At 39.4% G+C, this 21162-nt stretch overlaps 1 protein-coding gene across 14 annotated transcripts in view, besides 1 other annotated feature; it reads left to right on the top strand.

Annotated features, from left to right (window-relative positions):
* Positions 1-21162, top strand: part of ENPP2 (ectonucleotide pyrophosphatase/phosphodiesterase 2) — a 116305-nt gene that overhangs the window by 67289 nt on the left and 27854 nt on the right. For 8 of the 14 annotated variants that reach the window (XM_024447182.2, XM_017013573.2, XM_017013574.2 and 5 more), the window contains exons 10-15: positions 4640-4705; positions 5352-5424; positions 12242-12350; positions 15472-15597; positions 19027-19058; positions 19789-19916. In XM_024447182.2, coding sequence (XP_024302950.1) covers positions 4640-4705; positions 5352-5424; positions 12242-12350; positions 15472-15597; positions 19027-19058; positions 19789-19916 — 534 coding nt within the window. Of the gene's footprint in view, positions 1-4639; positions 4706-5351; positions 5425-10099; positions 10256-12241; positions 12351-13122; positions 13178-15471; positions 15598-19026; positions 19059-19788; positions 19917-21162 lie in introns of those variants that run through there. The other 6 variants (XM_024447181.2, XM_006716587.2, XM_006716585.2 and 3 more) reach the window with 2 other exon arrangements.
* Positions 8485-9182: an enhancer, noted in NCBI's record as "OCT4-NANOG hESC enhancer chr8:120609160-120609857 (GRCh37/hg19 assembly coordinates)". NCBI's record gives its function as "activates a minimal SCP1, AML or CMV promoter by ChIP-STARR-seq in naive H9 embryonic stem cells {active_cell/tissue: H9 hESC(naive)}" and the evidence as "EXISTENCE:reporter gene assay evidence [ECO:0000049][PMID:30033119]".

Below are 21162 nucleotides of genomic sequence, written 5' to 3'. Positions count from 1 at the left end.
ACAGTGTATATTCTGAAAACTTAAAAAAATTTAGAACCTGATTCAAACCATAGACTTAGACTTTGAAGGCCATCTTTTTAACATGGTTCCGTACTGCAACCTAGAATTATTCTTGCCTTTTAAATGATAGTATTTCATTCTGAAATAATCTTCGGCTGATGCTCCATTCTTTTGTGCCAATTCATGTTCAAAGACAGTAATTCCCATTATGTATGATTGTTCACGTTGATTCTCATCCCAGCTTGGCTGCTTATTAGATTGGTGACCTTGGACTAGTGATTTAATCTCTCAACAAATCCATGTCCTCATCTTCAAATAAAAATTACAGTATCTTCGGCTGGGTATGGTGGCTCACGCCTGTAATCCCAGCACTTTGGGGGCTGAGGTGGGCAGATCACCTGAGGTCAGGAGTTCGAGACCAGCCTATTCAACATGGAGAACCCTCGTCTCTCCTAAAAAAAAAAAAATACAAAATTAGCTGGGCATGGGGACACATGTCTGTAATCCCAGCTACCTGGGAGGCTGAGGCAGGAGAATGGCTTGAACCTGGGAGGCAGAGGTTTCGGTGAGCTGAGATCATGCCATTGCACTCCAACCTGGGCAACAAGAGTGAAACTCTGTCTCAAAAAAAAAAATACACACACACACACACACACACACACACACACACATATATGGTATCTTCATCATGGGATGTTGCAAAGATGCAATGAGCTAACATATTTAAAATGCTTATGGCCGGGCCTGGGGGCTCATGCCTGTAGTCTCAGCACTTTGGAAGGCAGGTGGATCGCTTGAGCACAGGAGTTTGAGACCAAGCTGGGCAACATGGCAAAACCCCATCTCTCCAAAATATACGAAAATTAGCCAGGCATGGTGGCACGTGCCTATAGTCCCAGCTACTTGGGAGACTGAGGTGGGAGGATCACCAAGCCCGAGGAGTTTGAGGCTGCAGTGAGCTGAGATGGCACCACTGCACCCCAGCCTGGGCAACAGAGTGAGACCCTGTCTCAAAAATAAAATAAAATAGGCCGGGTGCAGTGGCTCAAGCCTGTAATCCCAGCACTTTGGGAGGCCAAGGTGGGTGGATCACAAGGTCAGGAGATGGAGAACATCCTGGCTAACACGGTGAAACCCCCTCTCTACTAAAAATACAAAAAATTAGCCAGGCGTGGTGGTGGGCGCCTGTAATCCCAGCTACTCAGGAGGCTGAGGCAGGAGAATGGTGTGAACCCAGGAGGCGGAGCTTGCAGTGAGCCGAGACCATGCCACTGCACTCTAGCCTGGGAGACAGAGCAAGACTCCATCTCAAAAAATAAAAAATAAAATAAAATAAAACAACATAAAATGCTTATTAGGGTATTTGGTACACAGAGAACAACTAATAAATGGTATTTGTTTTCTTATTCACATTCTCTCTTTCAACATTGACTAGACAAGGGCTATATATGACTTAAGATAATTTGCTCTCCTTTACTAGTAAATACTTAACTTAGTCTTTTTTTTTTTTTTTTGACCATTTCTAATATACTTGGTCTCATGACAAATTCTGCATCAATCAGTGGTGGTGAAGACAGCAACATGTACCCCATTTCTTTTTTTGCTCTTTCTTGGTCAGATTTATTTGTGCTGTCTGCGCATTGTATTTGAATATTTGAAATGCTAATGGCTAAGGGCCATGTCCTTTTGGTCTCTGAGGTTATTTCATAAAGATAATCTAGAACTCCTAGGAAACAGAGACAACCTTGCCCAACTCCTCATTTAAGAGATTAGAGGCTGGGTGTGGTGGCTCATGCCTGTAATCCCAGCACTTTGGGAGGCTGAAGCGGGTGGATCACTTGAGGTCAGGAGTTCAAAACCAGCCTGGCCAACATGGTGAAACCCCGTCTCTACTAAAAATACAAAAATTAGCCAGGCGTGGTGGCAGGCACCTTTAATCCCAGCTACTTGGGAGGCTGAGGCAGGAGAATAGCTTGAACCGGGGAGGTGGAGGTTGCAGTGAGCCGAGATTGTGTCACTGCACTCCAGCCTAGGCGACAGAGCAAGACTCCATCTCAACAACAACAACCAAAAAAAAAAAAAAAAAAAAGAGAGAGATTGAGAGGTTAGAACACTAAGGCCTAGAGAGGTTAAATGTTGCACCTAAGGTCAGAGGTAGGATGGCTACTCAGACCTCCAGCGTCCTCATCTTATTCTCAACACAAACACAATCAGCCCCTGCCCAGAAAAGAATTATCACTTGCTTATCTTTCCCCCAAGAAAATGACGACCCCTCCATAATAGTCTTTTTGGTAGGAATATCTTTATTTACGTTTACACAAATGCCTTAAACCCAATATGCCCTTAACAAATATTTTGTGAATGAATATATCATCTCTGCAGACCTATACATTTAGTATATAACAATAAAAGCTAACATTTTTCTAAACCCTTTCTATGTGCCCAGCACTATTCTAAATGCTTTTCACTATTCTAAATGTATTCTCTTTTCACCTTTACTACAACTTTATGAGATAGGTACTATTATATTGTCCTCGTTTTCCAGAGGCATCAAAAGTTTAGATAACTTGCCAAGTCTTATCACCAGCATTTGTTGGAGTCAGGATACAAACCCAAGCACTCTGGCCTCATAGCTGGCACTTTTAATTCCCCGTCTACCATTGTTCAAGTACCCCATCCAACGAGGGCATTCAGGGGTGAGCATTCTGAGCTTGACACAGATTCTGTTAGTTTGTATTTTTCCATTAGTATTGAAAGTGGGTTCATTAGGGCCCGTTTCTGTGGCTTAACACCAATTACGTAAAATAAAGCAGCTTTTAGGCAGGTAGTGAAATAAAGTATAATGAAAAGGCTCTGGCATTCACTTTTTTTTTTTAAACAGGAAAGAATTCAAAGTATGCAATTATTTTGCTCAGATACAAAGGATTTCTAAAGCTGAAGAATTAAATTCCTTAAGTGATTAACCTGGCTTTGCTCTGCCTATTTCTAATTCAATTATAGGATATAGTGATCAGGGTCGCATTTATCCAATAGCATTGGAATATGTTTAAATTTGGACTCATTTTATGGCACACATGATTTTCTGGTCTTGTGTGATAGTTCCAGAAAGAGAGGGTGCCTGGGGAATGACAAATCCCTGTGAGCTGGATGGTGATGGGGGAGGAAGAGAAACCACTTGATGAGAGCCCCGGCTTGAGGATTTATCCTTCTCCCAGCTCTCTCACTGCTCATGTCCACTGAGAGTAAAAGTTTAAATGGCTCACCAATGTTCCACAATAATTTTTCCTGACCACATTTAAACTTGTGCTTTAGTTTGAATTCATCATGAACATGCCTCTAATGCCTGGTCTTGGATCGGGGAGTGAAAATGCATTTTGTGCTCCCTGTTGGGAAAGAGTGGGTGAATTTCCCCTGACTAAAGATATCACTCAGCTTGTGAGCATCTGAATGTAACTCAGCCGGGGATGCAATACTGTCATGTTAGCTGTGAGGCCTTAGAGCCCTTAAAGCTAGTGCCAGACTTAGGGTAATTATATTTCAACAGAGGAAAGAGACTTAAACACAAAAGTTATTGTGGATGAAGATTATACCCTTTTTGTCAGTCTCTTAATTATATGTGCCTATTCTTTTTTTTTTTTTTTTTTGAGACAGAGTTTCACTCTTGTTGCCCAGGCTGTAGTGTAATGCTGTAATCTTGGCTCACTGCAACCTCTGCCTCCTGGATTCAAGCGATTCTCTTGCCTCAGCCTCCCAAGTAGCTGGGATTACAGGCATGTGCCACCATGCCTGGCTAATTTTGTATTTTTAGTAGTGACGGGGTTTTGCCATGCTGGTCAGGCTGGTCTCGAACTCCTGACCTCAGGTGATCTGCCTGCCTCGGCTTCCCAAAATGCTGGGATTATAGGCATGAGCCACTGCACCTGGCCTATTCTTGGTAGATTTTTACAGGGCTGGAAGAAAATGGCAAGAATACCTTCCCTAACCCATTATTTTATAGAGGAGGAACTTAAAGTTTCAGGTTAGGTAGTGTTTCTAAAGTCATACCATTATTTAGAGGCAGAATGATAACGCATTATGATCATTAATAAAAATATGTTTTTAAAGAACTTACTGTGTCTTACGCACTGGACATGCCCTTTCCTTGTCTTGTCTCATTTCATCCTTACAACCAAGCTGTACAGTGTTCTTTGCTGTTAGCTTTATCTTACCGATGAGTAAACTGAGACCGAGTGGTCAAGAGAGGTCACACCGCCAGCAAGAGGCGGATTGGGGATGTAAGTACTGATCCCTTTATGGCCACAGCTAAAGGCTCGACAGAATAAATGACAATGATTCTGAAACCAGGGTCCTTTCTGCTTGTAGTGGAGTTTCTGATTAGCAAGACAGGTTCCTCATTCTGACTGTGAATCAGAGTTTCCAGTGTAGTCTTCTGTGGAAGAGGTTGAGCAACGTAATATGTTGCAAATGGAAATAGTAGTTTAAACGCTAATTCGAAAGAGGGCCTTTTACTACAAATGAAGTGAAAACAGATGGTGGTAAATAGAGAGCATTTGGCCTGGGTGCAAGAGCGAGCACTCCTCAGGCTTGAGTTTGCGGAAATGAAACCTAACAACATGCTTTGCTTGCTTTTACCCTCCAGTGTCATCCCTCACGAGCGGAGAATATTAACCATATTGCAGTGGCTCACCCTGCCAGATCATGAGAGGTATTTATTTCTCTCTTTCTTCTTTCTTCAGTACATTTCTATCTTAGTTTAGAATTGCGTGAAACACTAGACTGTGGAATAGAAGCACAGCCAATGTTTGGAATTAAAAGTTTTGTGGTTCTTAGCCTTAAGTGTTACTTCCCTAAGAAGGATACAATAGACTTTGGTTATTGGGACCATTTAATTACTTGGATTACTGCAGCTATTAATTCTGTCCACTACAGCAGAGCCGAAGGGAGTTTCTGGCTTTGATAAATGAACCAGCAGCATCCCAAGGATTGCAGAAGTATAAAGAGAGACGCTTCTCTGTAATGCAGTTAGTTGTTGTTTCAGGCTGCAGATTGCACGGCCCATGTGAATTACCGCCAGGCTCTGTTATCTTGAGGGTCAAGGATCCGAGTACAGGTTCAAGTTTTCCTTTGTGACTTTTGATTCCTGAAGGTGGTTCCAGACAGTTACTACAGATGGGGTGGTGGTCACAGAAGCAACAGAAAAAAAAAAAAGTTTTTCATGCTAACATGAATAGTAGTTAAAGGATAAATTAAACTTGAGAACATTTTTTTTTAAATGCGTTTTTTAAAAATATGTGATATTTTTTGTTACATGTGGTTTAGGAGAGATTCTGAACCTTCCAATTTTCTTATAGGCCTTCGGTCTATGCCTTCTATTCTGAGCAACCTGATTTCTCTGGACACAAATATGGCCCTTTCGGCCCTGAGGTTAGTGGTTTAGCATCTGCCTGAGAAGAATCTGTGGCCCTGGGCTACCTGATCTACTGACTTTATTTCAGGAATTGTATAAAGTCTGGATGGATGTTTGTATCTACAAGGTTTATGCAAAGTCAAATAACTACAAGACTAAAAATTTTTTAAAAAATCTTAAAACGACCTGTTTCTGTTACAGGAGCTTCATTTCAGATTGATTTGATATTTAAATAATAATATATCCTAAACTTGATGTTAACAGGAGATGGGGTGTATTCTAGCCTTGTGGGCGTCAGTTGGAGGGTGAATAATTCGGAAGAGTTGGCATTTGCCTTCAATGGGCTAGGCATGGAAAAAAATCTTGAGATGAAACCTGCAATGCAAAACATTGTAAATGAATTTCAGCACCCTTGAAATGATTAGGCAGTTTAGAGAGGGTAGATCAGCTAAGCAGCTCCAATAACCTTGGCAGATATAATACAATCAACTTGGCATAAGTTATAGTAATGGACCCTTTTGAATTTAATACATTTTGGCATAGGTATATATACTGTGAAATTGTCACCACATTCAAGATATGAACATAGTCATCACCCCCCCAAAGTAACATAAATTCTTGAGAAAAATATACCACTGAATGAATCTGCTTAGCAGAGCAGGCTGACTTTTTTTTTTTTTTTTTTTTTGAGACAGAGTCTTGCTCCGTCACCTAGGCTGGAGTGCAGTGGTGTGATCTTGGCTCACTGCAACCTCCACCTCCCAGGTTCAAGTGATTCTCCTGTCTCAGCCTCCCGAGTAGCTGGGATTACAGGCGTGCACCACCATGCTCGGCTAATTTTTGTATTTTTAGTAGGGACAGGCTTCCGCCATGTTGTGCCAGGCTGGTCTCTAACTCCTGACCTCAGGTGATCCACCAGCCTTGGCCTCCCAAAGTGCTGGGATTGCAGGCGTGAGCCACCACACCCAGCTGAGGGTGACATATTTTTATCAAACACTCAGCCATCATTGTGGAAGACAATCTGTGAGGTAGTATCCAGTATAATTTCAAATTCAGAAGGTGGGAAAGGAATGGTTAGAAATGTTCCCACATTTTCAGCATAGATAGTAAAAAATATGATGGAGTTTGCAAATCTAACCTTTTAAATATTTTTAAATATTTAAGTAGCCTAGTAACCCATAGGACACTGCTGACTATAATTAAGTTCATTGTTTTCAGATGAATTAGAAATACAGGTAAACATATCTTGGTTTAAACATACTTGGTTAAACATACTTGGTTTAAGTATTTTTGACAATACTTAAGTTTTTTGACAATACTTAAGTATTTTGACAATACTTGCAGCATGTGACCAAGGAGTCATAAGTGTTTCTGAATGCTTTGACATCAATTCAGAGGTGATTTATTTAAGCACTAGTAACTAATAGCTACGTAAAACCACTCTTAGTCTTAAATCACTGAAGTTATATAAGTCAGATGCTCTTTTTCTGTCCCTTTGAAGTTTAACCCGTCTTGTATGATTGTGAAACACAAATGATAAAATGAGATAAACATCTGCATACATGATGCCAGTAAAGAACACCAAAGCAAGAATGGCTGTTTTATTTTTAGATTGACTTTCTTTGAGATTAACCTAAAGGGAACAAAAGGAACCACATTTTATCAAAATGTTCACAAAACAAAACAAAACACCTAAGCAGTTCCATGTTCCCTACTTAAAAGTTTGACTTCTTGGGTAATAGCATCCCCTCAAAGAACCTGTGGGGTAGGCAAAACGGATTGGTATAGCCATCCTTTTAAAAGTAGGACTCCGGTACTTTCGCTTGGCTGCTAAGGGGAGAACCTGAAGATAGCACTACAGAACTTTTGACTCCCAGAGCACACTCCCTTCCATGGAACCATTTAACCCTCCTGCAGTCCAGGAGATAAGCAAAGTGGTCAGTTAATAACTATGTTCAAATTATACAGAACATTTTCTTTATGGCAAAAGTTTGGCTTTTAATAATACAGATGAGGTATAACTCAAACCTTAAAAGTTATATGGCTTAATGATAAATGTTCTTAATCAATAAACATCTTTGGGTTTCTAATATGTGTAGTTCAGTTACAATTAAATGCATGAAAGTATATGTTTGTGTGAATTAAGAAACAAATAAGTTTTTTTGAAAGTACTGAGTAGGGAATAAATGAAGCGGCATACAGGATGCTTTAATTTGCTATAATAATTTTTCTATGCCCAGGGTTGCTCACAAATATATAAACAGAGATTTTTCCTATAGTACCTTTGAATTAAGAGTTGAAAGTATTCATGTTATGTTTTTTTCAGTATTACTACTTCTTGCAGCTAGGGTATTTTCATATGCCTACTGGATAAACTCTTAATTGGGTATCTTGGAGTATATCTTCAGTAATGGTAATCTGATAACCTGGTCATTTTCTTCTCATAAGGCAAAGGATATTTTCAGATTTCAATTATTTCTCATCTGGTTCTAGGAATCTTATTTTAACTGAATGAAAAACAAAATAGTTTATGCTTTTAAAACATGAAACCAAAGCAAGTCAGCAAAAATTCTCTTCTATTGTAGGCTAATTGGTTTATACACCTGTGTATCCTATATGCCTACCTATATATCATCATTTACACTTATTATACATGAAAAGATTATAACATACTAGTTGAAAGATTATTTTAAAATCAGTAACGTATCTTTTACATATAAGAAAATAACCTATATTTGAAATTTCATTGAAATGATTTTAACTACCAAAATGCTATATGCTACAATAAGATGAATTCAGTTGAAATTTGTGCTTTATTTGCTAAATATTTGAGTCCACATTTTTTCAGAATGATTCTCAAAAGCTATTAAATGAGATGACCAAACATTGAGTTAATAGTTCAAGAAATGGTGTATTGCTCCTGGTTTCAGAGTGTAATGGTGAATGTTCAAAAATATGCTTGCTTTTGATTATTGGCGCAATCTTTTTCTTTTTGACCTTCTATGCTTTTTCTGTGACCCCTTGTTCGGCTGCTCTTCCGGGCCTACAGGCAGAGCTTTGGCTGGCTAGTCTCTACCTTCAGATGGCAAAGTATCCTGAAATGCAGGGAAATTTGCACCTCTACCTCCCATCCTCTTAATAACCTCAGGCTAAAATTTCTAAATTCAGGCTAAAGTATGGCTGGTCAGTGAAAACTTAGCTTTCATGTACCTCTAACATTTGAAGAAGGAAATACATGCGATATAATCACTGGATGAAAACCCAGTTTGACTAAACCCTACTCTTCTGCTCCTCTAACCTGCTGCAATTGGAAGGGCTCATCTTTGGAGTCTTTGGAATGTTGAGGTCTCTTGCAAATGGCATAGAGTTTGATGGGCCGACTTGAGCGCTAGCAGAATGTATTCAGTGACCATGAAACGGAAAATCCTCTTTTCCTTTTGCTGCTTTTCTTATGGAGATTTGCCTAAAACTAGGAGCATTAAAAAACAAACAAACAAAACCAAAGTCTTTGGGGCTGTGTCTTTTGATTGCTTTGGTGGAGAGAGAGGATGAGACAGAAACAGAAGTGCCTTTGCCATGGCTTGCCCTGGAAACAGTGAAATCGCATGGCAGATGTTCCCCTTCTTGGATACACTAACATTGTTCCTCCTCCCGCCCCTTCCTGCATCTGAATGGCTCTCAAGACATTCCCCCCACCCACCCTCCGAGAGAAGTCAGTGAGGTAGACAGCAAGGCTTGCTGCTTTAATTCACCTTTGCACCATCAGCAAATCAGGGGCCTGTTTTTCCTCCAGCATTTGGAAATCCCAAAAGGTTATCTTCAGTTTATGTGTCAACTTCACTGCTCTCTGGATTTTCAAAACAAAACCCATAGCATGCAACGCCCCTTAAAAGCAGGTTTCTGATAGCAAGAGCATAAGGAGACTCTTTCTTGGTCTGTATATACCAAGACAAAAAAGAGATGACTTTTTGATGACTTTTTAGATTTTACCTAATTTTAAAAGGACTTTAACTTAGAGTTCCTCTGTACTGAAAACCTTAATTGTCAGTGAGTTCTCTCTCCTGCTGAAAGTCCTGATTTGTGGGAGTACGTTTATGATTAAGGAGGATTACTTATTATTTATGTTTCATTCCGTCCTTGGTTTTAAAATTTTTCACTGGATCCTTGCCAATGAAGGTGACAGTTGCTTTGACATAGTTGCTGACGTGAACAGAAAGATAACTGTCAGATTCTGAATTGGAATCACTTACATGAACCTCATTGTCCTCTTGAAATGACCAAGTGGCTAGTATTTAGCCTACTTTTCAGTTAGTTCTTTATAAATGGAGAGCTTTTCATAACCAAAGACCAGTCTCTCCCTAATGCAGGAGTTATGGAATACAGAGCTTGTCTAATGCCACCTTCCCATACATCCATAAATATCAGCCAAAAGAAACCCACATGACTAGATTTTCTTAAATTGGATTCTTGTTCTCAGCGAAGAAGCTGTGACAACAGTATCAACATCAATTTAGGAGGCTTCTCTCCATAGAGTTCCTCTAATCATCCATCCCTCATTCCAATTTTTTCTCACTTAAGGAGCCTTAGTTATTCTGAGACTCTGCTGATCCCAGATGGGAAAGTGTAAGCTTTATATCTGACTCAGAGGGACAGACGACTTCTGAGTCCAGACATCTCTATCCGCCAGTACAGGAGAGTAGTTATGGCTCACCTTTTACTCCGGCTAAGAGACCTAAGAGGAAAGTTGCCCCTAAGAGGAGACAGGAAAGACCAGTTGCTCCTCCAAAGAAAAGAAGAAGAAAAATACATAGGATGGATCATTATGCTGCGGAAACTCGTCAGGACAAAGTAAGTTTATCTATTGTTCCAAAGCTTTGTGGCGGGCAGGTCTGAGTTGAAGGTTGCCTTCAGTGCCTTGGTTGGAAAATCGGCTGAGCAAGTTTTAGAAAAACTCTGGTGCATTGACCTTGGCTTTGAGTCCAGAAGAATGTGGTACTTCAGAGGTTAACACTGATGTGAAGACTGCCTGAACTCAACATGACAGGAAAAAAAGAAGTCTTTTCCTTTTTTTAAGAGTTAGTTGCCCTAAAACTAGTATTAACATTTAGGCTGGAGTGACTATTAAGAGTGCACTTATTCACAGAATCAGTCACATGGTTTGTGGCCCTGGTTCTTGAGAACAACCCTGCAAGGTAAAAGGAGGTATTCTCAAAGACAATGTGGATTAGAACTCAATAGGAAGTTGGCTTAGATTAGGGGTCTGTACCTTCAGAGATCAGAAAAGGTGTAGGTTATAGAGAAGGAAATAGCTAAGACAGAAAGAAAGAGAAAATAATGGGCGGATAGAGTTGTATGTAATTTCCACAAGTAATGTCTACTCTTCCCAGTATGTTCAGAAGAGCCTATCGGTTGTTGCTTTTCCTAAAACCTTTGAATACCTCTGAGGCAGTATCTTATTTGTGATCCTCTGAACTGATCCCTAAGAAGTAGGTTCTGGATTTTACCTGAGTCATCCTGCTGAGTAAAGGAAAATAAGTCATTGCCAAAGATCAAAACACATTGTTCATTTGGTATTTCTTTACCTAGACAGAGATCTTGGAGCAGAGCATGATTTTCTCAGAAGCAAATACCACTTTGTTCCACACCCGTTAGTCCCTTCCGATTATTCTGCACATGTCTTTCTGAAACTTTCAACTGTGGCTTCCTCCTTGGGATAGGACTTGAAATACTGACTCCCGTCATGAAGAAAAAAACAAAAGTTTACACCTGATTTCCCAATGAAATAACAGGAGGAAAGGTCTTGATTCATCTGAGAAGATGCTAGTGGAAGATAATATTATGTGTCCGAGTAAAAATGATATTCACATCCTTTCTGTTCTTATCTTAATCATCTTGGGTATATTTATGTGATTGTTAGCTAAGCTATAAAATTCATCTAAATATACTCCCTGTATCTTTCTATTCTTTGTCTGATCAGATGTTTCTTAAAAATCTTTCCATTGCACAGCTAAAGATGAAAGGGGGATGGAGAGCCTCTAGTATGTGAGGACATTCATGCTGTTAGAAACTTCCATTTGAAGTAAGAAAATGAGATATGGGTAATGTTTTTTAGGCTTTGGAAATGGTCTTCAGAAAAGAATTGAGTTTTCATATTTTGTTAAAGAAGAAACCTTCTAGAACAAACTCATGGTTCACTTCTTTTTAAGTTAGGACTCTTATAGATTCTTGTTTCACTCAAAATCAGCTTTAAAAGAACTAAAGTGAGAAGCAATAACTTGTTTCTTAGAATAGGTTCTTCTGTTAAGAATCTATTGCTTTCAGATGCCAACAGTTAAATTACTTAGAACAAGATGGATCTCATTGTATTAATGATATTCTAATTTATTATCCAGTGCAACGTTGTGATTTTAACCTCAGAACAGCTTTGAATTCACTTAGCGTCTATCTTCTTGCCATAGTTCAAAATCTAATGTGATTTCACTTAGGGACTTTCTGTTTACTCTCAAAACTCTTGGATTTAAAGGATGCTGTCACATATTAGAAAGTCGATTTTCTCTCTTAAAGAATTTTCATTAACAATATTTTTGACATTTTTATATCAAAGAATCTTTAAAGGGATTGGATGAGGAGAGGTTTTAATTCTGTCAAAAGAATACAAATATAACGTGCTTAGACCAGATTTCATTAAGAATGGCAGGCAAATCTCCCCAGACAAAGCTCTGCCTCTGGGCCGGAAGTTTTCTTTCCAAAATGTTCTAGGGGTAGAAGATCTATGAGAGACTGAAAGGGAAAGAAAGAAAACCCTGTGGGGACTAACTTGCTTCTTTTTCCTAGATGACAAATCCTCTGAGGGAAATCGACAAAATTGTGGGGCAATTAATGGATGGACTGAAACAACTAAAACTGCATCGGTGTGTCAACGTCATCTTTGTCGGAGACCATGGTAAAGCTTTGTTTTTTCTTTGCTAATAGGATAGATGGATAATGTTTCTGATCATATTGAGGAAAAGAATCCTTGCCCTTAGAAGCCAAGACTCCATTCTTAACCTCATCCCCGCTTTCTTTAAGATGGGGATAGAAATCAGGCCATGATTGAAAAGTATGAGATGACCTGAGAGATCCCTGGGTTCATTTTGATCAAAAGCTGGGACTTCTTATATATTTCTGTTATTTGCAGGAAAGACCTTTCTACAAAAATCTGTCTCTCTTTAAAGCAACACAGACAGTTTCCTTGTGACATTAATAGCTTCTTCTGTGAATGTGACATATCAGGTGATAATCTCCTATCCCTGCCAGCCACATCCCCAAAACGAGCCCATGGAGTTTATATGGTTAAAAAATACATCTAAATATGATAAAGAAGCAGAGATATGGGATTCTTGTCAAAGAAGTGGCGTGTAAGTCAAATCATTTCCCCGAATCCACTGAGGGAAGTCAAGGTCCAAACCGGAAGGCCCTGCTGTAATTCAGATGACTGTTAAAGAGAGGAAGAAGCATTATAGGAAGTAGTTTTTCTAAATCCCACTTTATGAAGTAGAAAAATTTATGATCAATTCTTTGAGGAGATCAAGAGCATCATAAACATTATATGACTGTAGAGCTGTGCAGGGGGTGGGGGCTCAGAGACATGCAGACTGAGTTCTAAAGGGTATCTCCTGTATTCCGGAACTATTAGATTGAAACAGTAGCATTGGAATTTGGGGCTTCTCCCTTCTAGTGGAGTTCGGAGGATGAAAATTGGCTGACTCTTTGGCAGTTCTGTTAAGAATGGTAGGCAAATCTCCCTAGCTCTGGTCCTGAAGGTCTTTCCAGAATGTCCTAGAAGATCTATGAGAAATTAGAAAAAAAAAAAAAAAAAAAAAAAAAAAAGCCAAAGGGATTAGCTTTCTCCTCTTGAGTGGGCTAGATATAACCCTTTGCGAAGTCATGCTCCATGCATTCGGCTTAGTGGAGAGCTACACACAGGTCAGAGAAGTTGGAGCATGTGTCACAGCTGATTCAATTTAAGTTGCCCAGAGGTGTCAAGAGCATTTGCTCACATGCTGGAGCCAGACATCTAAGTAGAAGGGTCCCAATGATATGTGCTGAGGCATTGTAAAGGTCATGGATAGGTTAAAACCTTGGCTTGTCAGTGTGTAGGCTTCCAAGATGAGTAGATCCATTTGGTTTGGGACAACTACAGCACTTCTTCTTCTTCTTTTTTTTTTTTTTTTTTTTTTTTGAGGTGGAGTTTCACTCTCATCGCCCAAGATGGAATGCAATGGTGCAATCTTGGCTCACTGCAACCTCCACCTCCCGGGTTCAAGTGATTCTCCTGCCTCAGCCTCCTGAGTAGCTGGGATTACAGGCACCTGCCACCAGGCCCGGCTAAATTTTGTATTTTTAGTAGACATGGGCTTTCACCATGTTGGCCAGGCCGGTCTCGAAGTCCTGGCCTCAGGTGATCTGCCTGCCTTGGCCTCCCAAAGTGTACAGCACCTCTCTCTTAAAAGATGGTATGGTTTAGTGTTTTAGGGCATGGTCTTTGGAGTCATAATGAATTTTAGTGGAGTTCAAATTGCACTGTGTCATTTAACAGCTATCTGACACTATACACCTTTTGTGGCAAGTCTCAGTTTCCTCATCTGTCAGGTGAGAACATTAACACCCCTCCACAAAGTTAGTCTGCAGAGTGAAGGCTGATGACGCTTGAGGAGCACTTAGCATAGTGCCTGATGGACTTCAAAAGTAAAGGAGATTGCTCACATTTGGGGTGGCATAAGGGACTTCCTAGAAATATAACAAATGGGAAAGACTTTCAGCCCTCTATTAATAGGTATTTGGGGACTTTCCCTTCCCACGCTAACATTGTACTAAAACATAGTAGCTCTTCATTGCTCTATTTTTCTTCCTAAGGGTTTAACTGTTAAAGTGCAAGATATATAATCCTTATGCTGTGTGTTTTTTCTTGCATTTCATTCCAATTTGTATTAAACAAGGGAAGGTTCTGGATCTGGGATCCTAGGAGGTGATTAGTTAAATTTTACCAGATCTGGGGTACTCTGGGTTGTATTTCCTTATTTTAAAACCTTTGGGCATCCTTTACAGGATATAAATATATGAGTATTCTCCAACAGGGTTATTTTCCCTGTTAGAGAATATGTACATACTGAATTGTACTGAGCAATATATTAAAACGTTCCAGGTCATCTCATACATTTCAATAAGATCTCTAGTAGCCTCCATAGTCTATGATGCTAAGATTTGAGTTTACAACAATGTTTTAAATAAAAGCATTTTAATAAAAGAATTTTCCTTGATGGGGACACACAACAAATCTTGGGGTGGAGGAGAAATATTTGTTGTTTAAAAAAATTCCCTACCTAGAACCTTCTTGCTTTAGTTGCTAGCTTTCAGTTCTGACTAATTACATTGTTTACAACTTGTTTTCAGTGTTATTTTGTTTTTCAGTTTGGGTGGTCATTGGAACTGACATTTTTCTTTCTCATCTCTTGTTGCCAGTATTGTTTTGTCAGTAACATCCAAGGCCACCAGTGGAGACAGTGAGGACTGGTGATTATGTACTCAAGACAGGAGATATATTAGAGAGTTGGAAAATGACATTTTGTAAAAGAGACACAGAACTGTATATTCCATTTATACCACCCCCAGCTGGGAAGAGTTTGATGCAACCTAGGGTTTTTTTTTTTTTTTTTTTTTAAAGAATAGATCTTTTTCATAAAGACTCTGTCAATAGTTATGTTTGTTGTTGTTGTTGTTTAAATCATGGTGACTTCCTTTGTCTTGCTATTCTGGCTGAGTGACTTAAAATGTAATCGAGGTAATGCACTTTCAACCTTCTAGTGCTTGCAAGATGATATGGCTAAGTAAAAGTCTAGAGAAAAGATTATACAGAGAAGCCTTAAACCATTTAAAGTCAAATACAAAAATCTCAAAAGTCAGGGCTCTTCCCATTAAGTTACTAAAAACTAACTAAAGAGATGCCTGGATGTTATCTTTCGTGTCTATGTTAAGATTTTCGTTTTAGTCTTGCCTGAAAATATTCTTTTTCTCCCTCCCCATAGGAATGGAAGATGTCACATGTGATAGAACTGAGTTCTTGAGTAATTACCTAACTAATGTGGATGATATTACTTTAGTGCCTGGAACTCTAGGAAGAATTCGATCCAAATTTAGCAACAATGCTAAATGTAAGTTGATTCTTAAAATATTAAGTGGTTAGAGTGGTAATACAAAGGAATAGGTAAGGGCTTGTTTTCTAAAGCTGAAATACTTGGGTAAAAATTCTGGCTCTGCTACCGCTTAGCTGAGTGACCTTAAATAAGTCATTTAGACTCTAAGCCTCAGTTTTTTCATCTGAAAAATGGGGATGATAAATGCTAGCAGCTACCTGTAGAAATTAATCTATGCATATTGCTTAGAGTGGTTCCTGGCACATAGTAGCATTATATAAATATTTGCTCTTATTCTTATTATGTGGAAATTGCACTTAGTTTGAAGCATATTCATGACCATAAACAGAAGTTTATAAGATAAGAATTTTTTCAATAAGAAGTTCAGGCTGATCATTTTTATAGATGAAACTAGAGGGTCTATGTAAGGGTTGGCAGAACCACATTTGGACTGTGGGGGTTCCTAGGAGCCTTGTGGAATGGAGTCCATTCTCTTTGTAAAAGTGATTGGTAGAACCTAGTAGGAAAAGATATTAAGCCCTTGGGAAGTGGCAGCTGTCCTGAAAGATTAGAAATAAAAATAAACAGGAATAATCTTGTCACTTATGTTTTACATGTTCAGGTTATGATCTACCACTGATACAAACTTAATTTGTGGACTAAGATTTTTAGGTGCTGTCTACCTAGCTTTTGAGAAGTCCATAGTTTTATTGGGGTTATGCCGCACTTTGAAAAAAAAATTCTTTAGAGTTTTTAGCCTTGGGAATAAGAAACCATTGACACCAACCTTACAGCTTTGGAAAATTAAGTTTTTCCCTAATTATGTTCCTGAGTCAACACAACTGGAACTGTTCCAGGGTCAGCTCCAGACCATGTTGTGAAATAAACAAAATGTGGGTGTTTCTGCCCTCTCTCCTCCATGACCTTTCCTGTCCCTGTGTCCTCCCTTTTCTGCCCTCGCATAGACTGGATGCAGTCACTATGGCACCCCTCGATTTTAGTATTTGCACTTCAGGGCTATGCAAAAAAGATTTTCTCTATTTTTAACAATATTTCTGACATTAGTACATGTAATGGGGAGGTTGGTTTGGAGGAGAAAAAAAAACCTTCCCATGGCCCATGAATTCATAACTATCAATGATAAAAATTTTTGTACTTTACAAAAACACTTTCCAATGTGGTTTCATTTTGTGGGAGACAGTAGCATGGGGTGGTGACAGGCACAGATGTCTGGGTTCATATCTCAGCTCTGCTCGGTACTCACCATGTGACGCCCTGTACCTCTGCTTCCTCATCTGCAAGGTAAGGATTGTTAGGAAGATTAAACAAGAGATTGTGTTTACATAATTTAGATCAGTGCTTAGCACATAGTCAAAGCTATATAAAGGTTGGATATGATGATGATGTCTTAGTCATACCACTATTTCAGATAGAGACACACACACATACACATACACTCTTATTTAATCCTTTTAATAGCATTGTGTGATAAGTATCACTATCCCTTTTATAGACAGTAGAAATTGAGGCTCAGAGAGGGGTGAGGGAACTAGCTTCGAGGATGATGGTTAGTAAGTTTCAGATCTGAGATTTGAAGCCAGATTAGCTGAACCACTGCCCTTTCTTCACACAAAATGAGGACTGTTAGCCTGCAAAGACTAAGTTCTTCAGAATTGAAGGATTGATGTCCCCAGTATGGACTCAGGCATTGGATATTCCTAGTAATTCTCTGGGACTTATCTGAGTACATGCTATTTACTTCTCTTCATTGTCAAAGACCATGAACTTACTTTATTTCGTCCCTTTGAGGAATATGATTTATGAGGCCTGGCTTGCTCAATCAGGTTGCTTGAGTGTCAGAGTGCCAACTCCTCCTCCTTCTGAAAACCCATTGGCTTAGTGAGGATTTGAACAGCATTTACCTCCTAGGGTTATTGTGAATGACCAGAGAGAAAGTGCCTGCAAAGCTCTTTTTTTTTTTTTTTTTTTTTTTTGAGGCGGAGTTTTGTTCTGTCGCCCAGGCTGGAGTGCAGTGGCTCCATCTTGGCTCACTGCAACCTCTGCCTCCTGGGTTCAAGCAATTCTCCTGCCTCAGCTTCCCAAGTAGCTGGGACTACAGGCACATGCCACCAAGCCTGGCTAATTTTTTGTATTTTTAGTAGAGACGGGATTTCACCATGTTAGCCAGGATGGTCTCGATCTCCTGAACTTGTGATCCACCCACCCCTGCCTCTCAAAGTGCTGGGATTACAGGCATCACTGTATCTGGCCACCTGCAGAGCTCTTATAGAAAGACAGGCACATAGTATGAAATCTATTCGGGCTATTATTATTACATTATTACTTATTTGCCTTCTAGTAAGAGATGTAATTAAGGCCAATGGAATACACATTTTAGTTTCGGATTTCAAGCTTTAGAGCTAAGATTCTGAAAATAGACTTTGGAGTCTGTATATTTATATCCCAAGGCAAGTTTATTCATACATTTTTAACAAATATGAACAAATATTTATTAACAAATGTATATTGAGTGTCTACTCTGAACAGGCCCAGGGATGCAGCAGCACGTGATACAGATAAGGCCTGCTCCACTGGTATTTAGATGCCAGGGAGGGCTGCCTCATGATAGTTGCTATCTCTTCTGAACACCACTTTCCTTTTCTGCTGATTCTGTAATAACATACTGAAGCAAACTTCCTGAAAACAAAACAAAATCCAAGCAACCTACAATCTCCTCTTTCTCCCCACATTCCGCCCAAAAGGGGAGCTTCAGATAATATAATCCTGTCCACAGTTTATGCACAGCCATCATTTACATAATTTTGCTTTTAGCTAGTTCAGAGTATTGACTAAAATCTTTTACTTGATGCTATTGAAAATAAAGGAGGTGCATGCACGTGTGTGTCTATGGCTGGAGAGGTGCGGCTACCTGTGTAATTACACCCAGGATATAAATAGGGAAACAAACTCCCTTTTAAAAAAATAACTCAATGGATTAGAAGTTTCAACTTAAAGTGGGTGAAGACTTGTTTCAAAAATCTGCAGATAAATAAGAAGTTACATTAAAAGCCCCAAATGCCCAGTTTAGTTCCTGAGGTCAAACTGCAAATAAATTATGTCTCAAGGGGAACCATTAGGGGGAACTTAAAACAAGAAGCAATTTACCTAGCAGTATCCTGGTGCTATGGAAGGAGGAATTCCCTCCAGAAGAGCAGAACTGGACCTAGGAGGGCAGTTTACTATAGGATTTGTTCCACTTGCTTAGCTGCATGTCAATGACTGAAATGTTAAATACCCCTACACAATTATTTATCTTTCAAACAAAACACTAAAGTGATAGTCTTCTGTGGGATGGAAGGAGAAAGAATTGAGTATCTTGCTGCAAAAATGATTTCTCTTGGTAATGGTTGTTATTTCTTTTGAAATCTTTCTCCTCTCTTTGAACAGATGACCCCAAAGCCATTATTGCCAATCTCACGGTAAGTGTTTCCAGTTGTCCCGCCTCTGCCCTGCCCAGGCCTCTGCCCCTGGAGCAGCCTCCCTCCTGTGTGTGCCTCCCCCGGCGGGGAGGGGTGGGAGGAACACTTTCCTCACTGCCCTGCCATCCTGTATATTTGTTTCCTTAAGAACTTTCAAAACTTCTGGCCTGTGGTCAGCTGCAGGCTCCCTAATGGTCTTGGCAATGATACAAATGGAGAATATCTGATCCTTCCATTAGAACTGAAAAGTATTCATTCATGGTTAAACAAATCTTTACTTTCCCTGAACCAGAACTGCCCACCCACTCTGCTCCATTGTTCCCGGATGCTGGGTAGCGACCTTAGTGGTACAAGAGCATCTAATCAGATAAGCCTAAACCCATGTGCTCCTCCCCTCCCACCGACACCCCACCCCCAACTGCTTGACTTGAAGGAGTTGGGAAAGGCCTTGGAGTGTGAATTGCTCTTAGCGATGGTCTCACAAGCCAGGAATGCATCTTAAAATTCCTAACTGTCCTCAGATAGCCTGTCATATCATCTCCAAGGTTACTTAATCTCTTTTGAATCTATTTGTTTTCAGCATACATTATTTAATAGAAATAAATTTCATTTATTCACTCATTAACCTTTGGTTAGGCTTAAAATCTCCTTCAGCTTTCTAGAGAGAGAATTTGTAAGAATTTTTCCAAAAGACATTCCATCTGAAGTCTGATTTCCATTTCTATTTCAGTGTAAAAAACCAGATCAGCACTTTAAGCCTTACTTGAAACAGCACCTTCCCAAACGTTTGCACTATGCCAACAACAGAAGAATTGAGGATATCCATTTATTGGTGGAACGCAGATGGCATGTTGCAAGGTAACTGGTATATGGGCTATTTCTGTTTCTCATTTCCACAACCACCCCTTTGGCAACTGGAAATATTTTATCATCCTTAGTCATCACTGAAAGAAATATCAGTTGGAAATCTCACTGTTTCCAAAGATTTTGTGGGCTACATAAACCATCAGTGCTGAGACAATATATCTCTATGTTCTGGGTCTCAGCATTGTGGTGTCTCTTTGCAGTCTGTCAGTGCATCTGTGTGTGTGTGTGTGTGTGTGTGTGTGTGTGTGTCTCTTTCATCCTTTGAATTTACATTCTAAACTCTATTCTTACTACTTGAGTAAGTCAAAAGTATAAATGGGAGCTTGCCTTAGTATATTGGGCTGATTTGATCTCGGTTGTTGAGACTTTGCTTGTAGCAATATTTATAGAGGACTTTAGAAAATGTTGTTAATGTTAAAAACTCTGTTATTGTGGGCACTTTTTACATTGCTTTAAATATTCCCAATGTTTGCCTTCTATTGAACTACAAAACACTCTCCAATGTTGAAGAGAATGTTCCTTGCTTTTGAATGTGGTCTAGGACATGTCTGGAGGCTCTAACAACTTCCAATGAGTTAATTATTAAGGATTTATCCATTTTCACACAGACCTGGAAGTAGCTGTTCCCACTCACTCTTGCTCCAACTTTCTACTTAAGAAAAGTGCTGTGAATTTGTCTATCTCAATAATTGAACAACTGCCACATGTACTCTAGCTGGGTACTAGTTTGCAAGAGAAAGAAGATAACAAGAAAATATTTAGAAACTCAAGTTCTAAGAAGAACTTAGAACTCTAGAAACTTGTATCAGTATGGGATGTTTAGAGAGACACATTTGACAGATACATAAATATCATGCTGTAATTTTCCAGGGTGTACTTAGAGTTAGATATGTGGGATTATGAAGAAAGATGTACGAAGAACAGGAATTATTGGAGTCTTCTAAAACAGTTGTGGGAAATCCTCATGGAGAATTTACTGGCCTGGTAAATTAATTGGGATGTGACTGAAATTAATTGGCCCGGTATGTGCTCCTGAAGGACCTTTTATGTATGGGGCAGCTTGGAAGGGGTCACACTGGCGCAGGTAGTAGGTTCATATGGCAAAAACATGGGAGCTGAGTAGAAGTTAAGTGAAAGATGATGACAGTTGGGCAAATTAGTGTAGCCCAAAACCAGGCATGTTGGTTAACAATGCATCTTTTAAATTTAACTCATCTTGCATTGTTGAGGTATTGTA

This window comes from Homo sapiens, chromosome 8 (assembly GCF_000001405.40).
Source record: "Homo sapiens chromosome 8, GRCh38.p14 Primary Assembly".
In the NCBI taxonomy this organism is placed as follows: domain Eukaryota; kingdom Metazoa; phylum Chordata; class Mammalia; order Primates; family Hominidae; genus Homo; species Homo sapiens.
The sequence above is the reverse complement of the archived record's forward strand: the minus strand, read 5'-3'. Positions and strand labels throughout refer to the sequence as shown.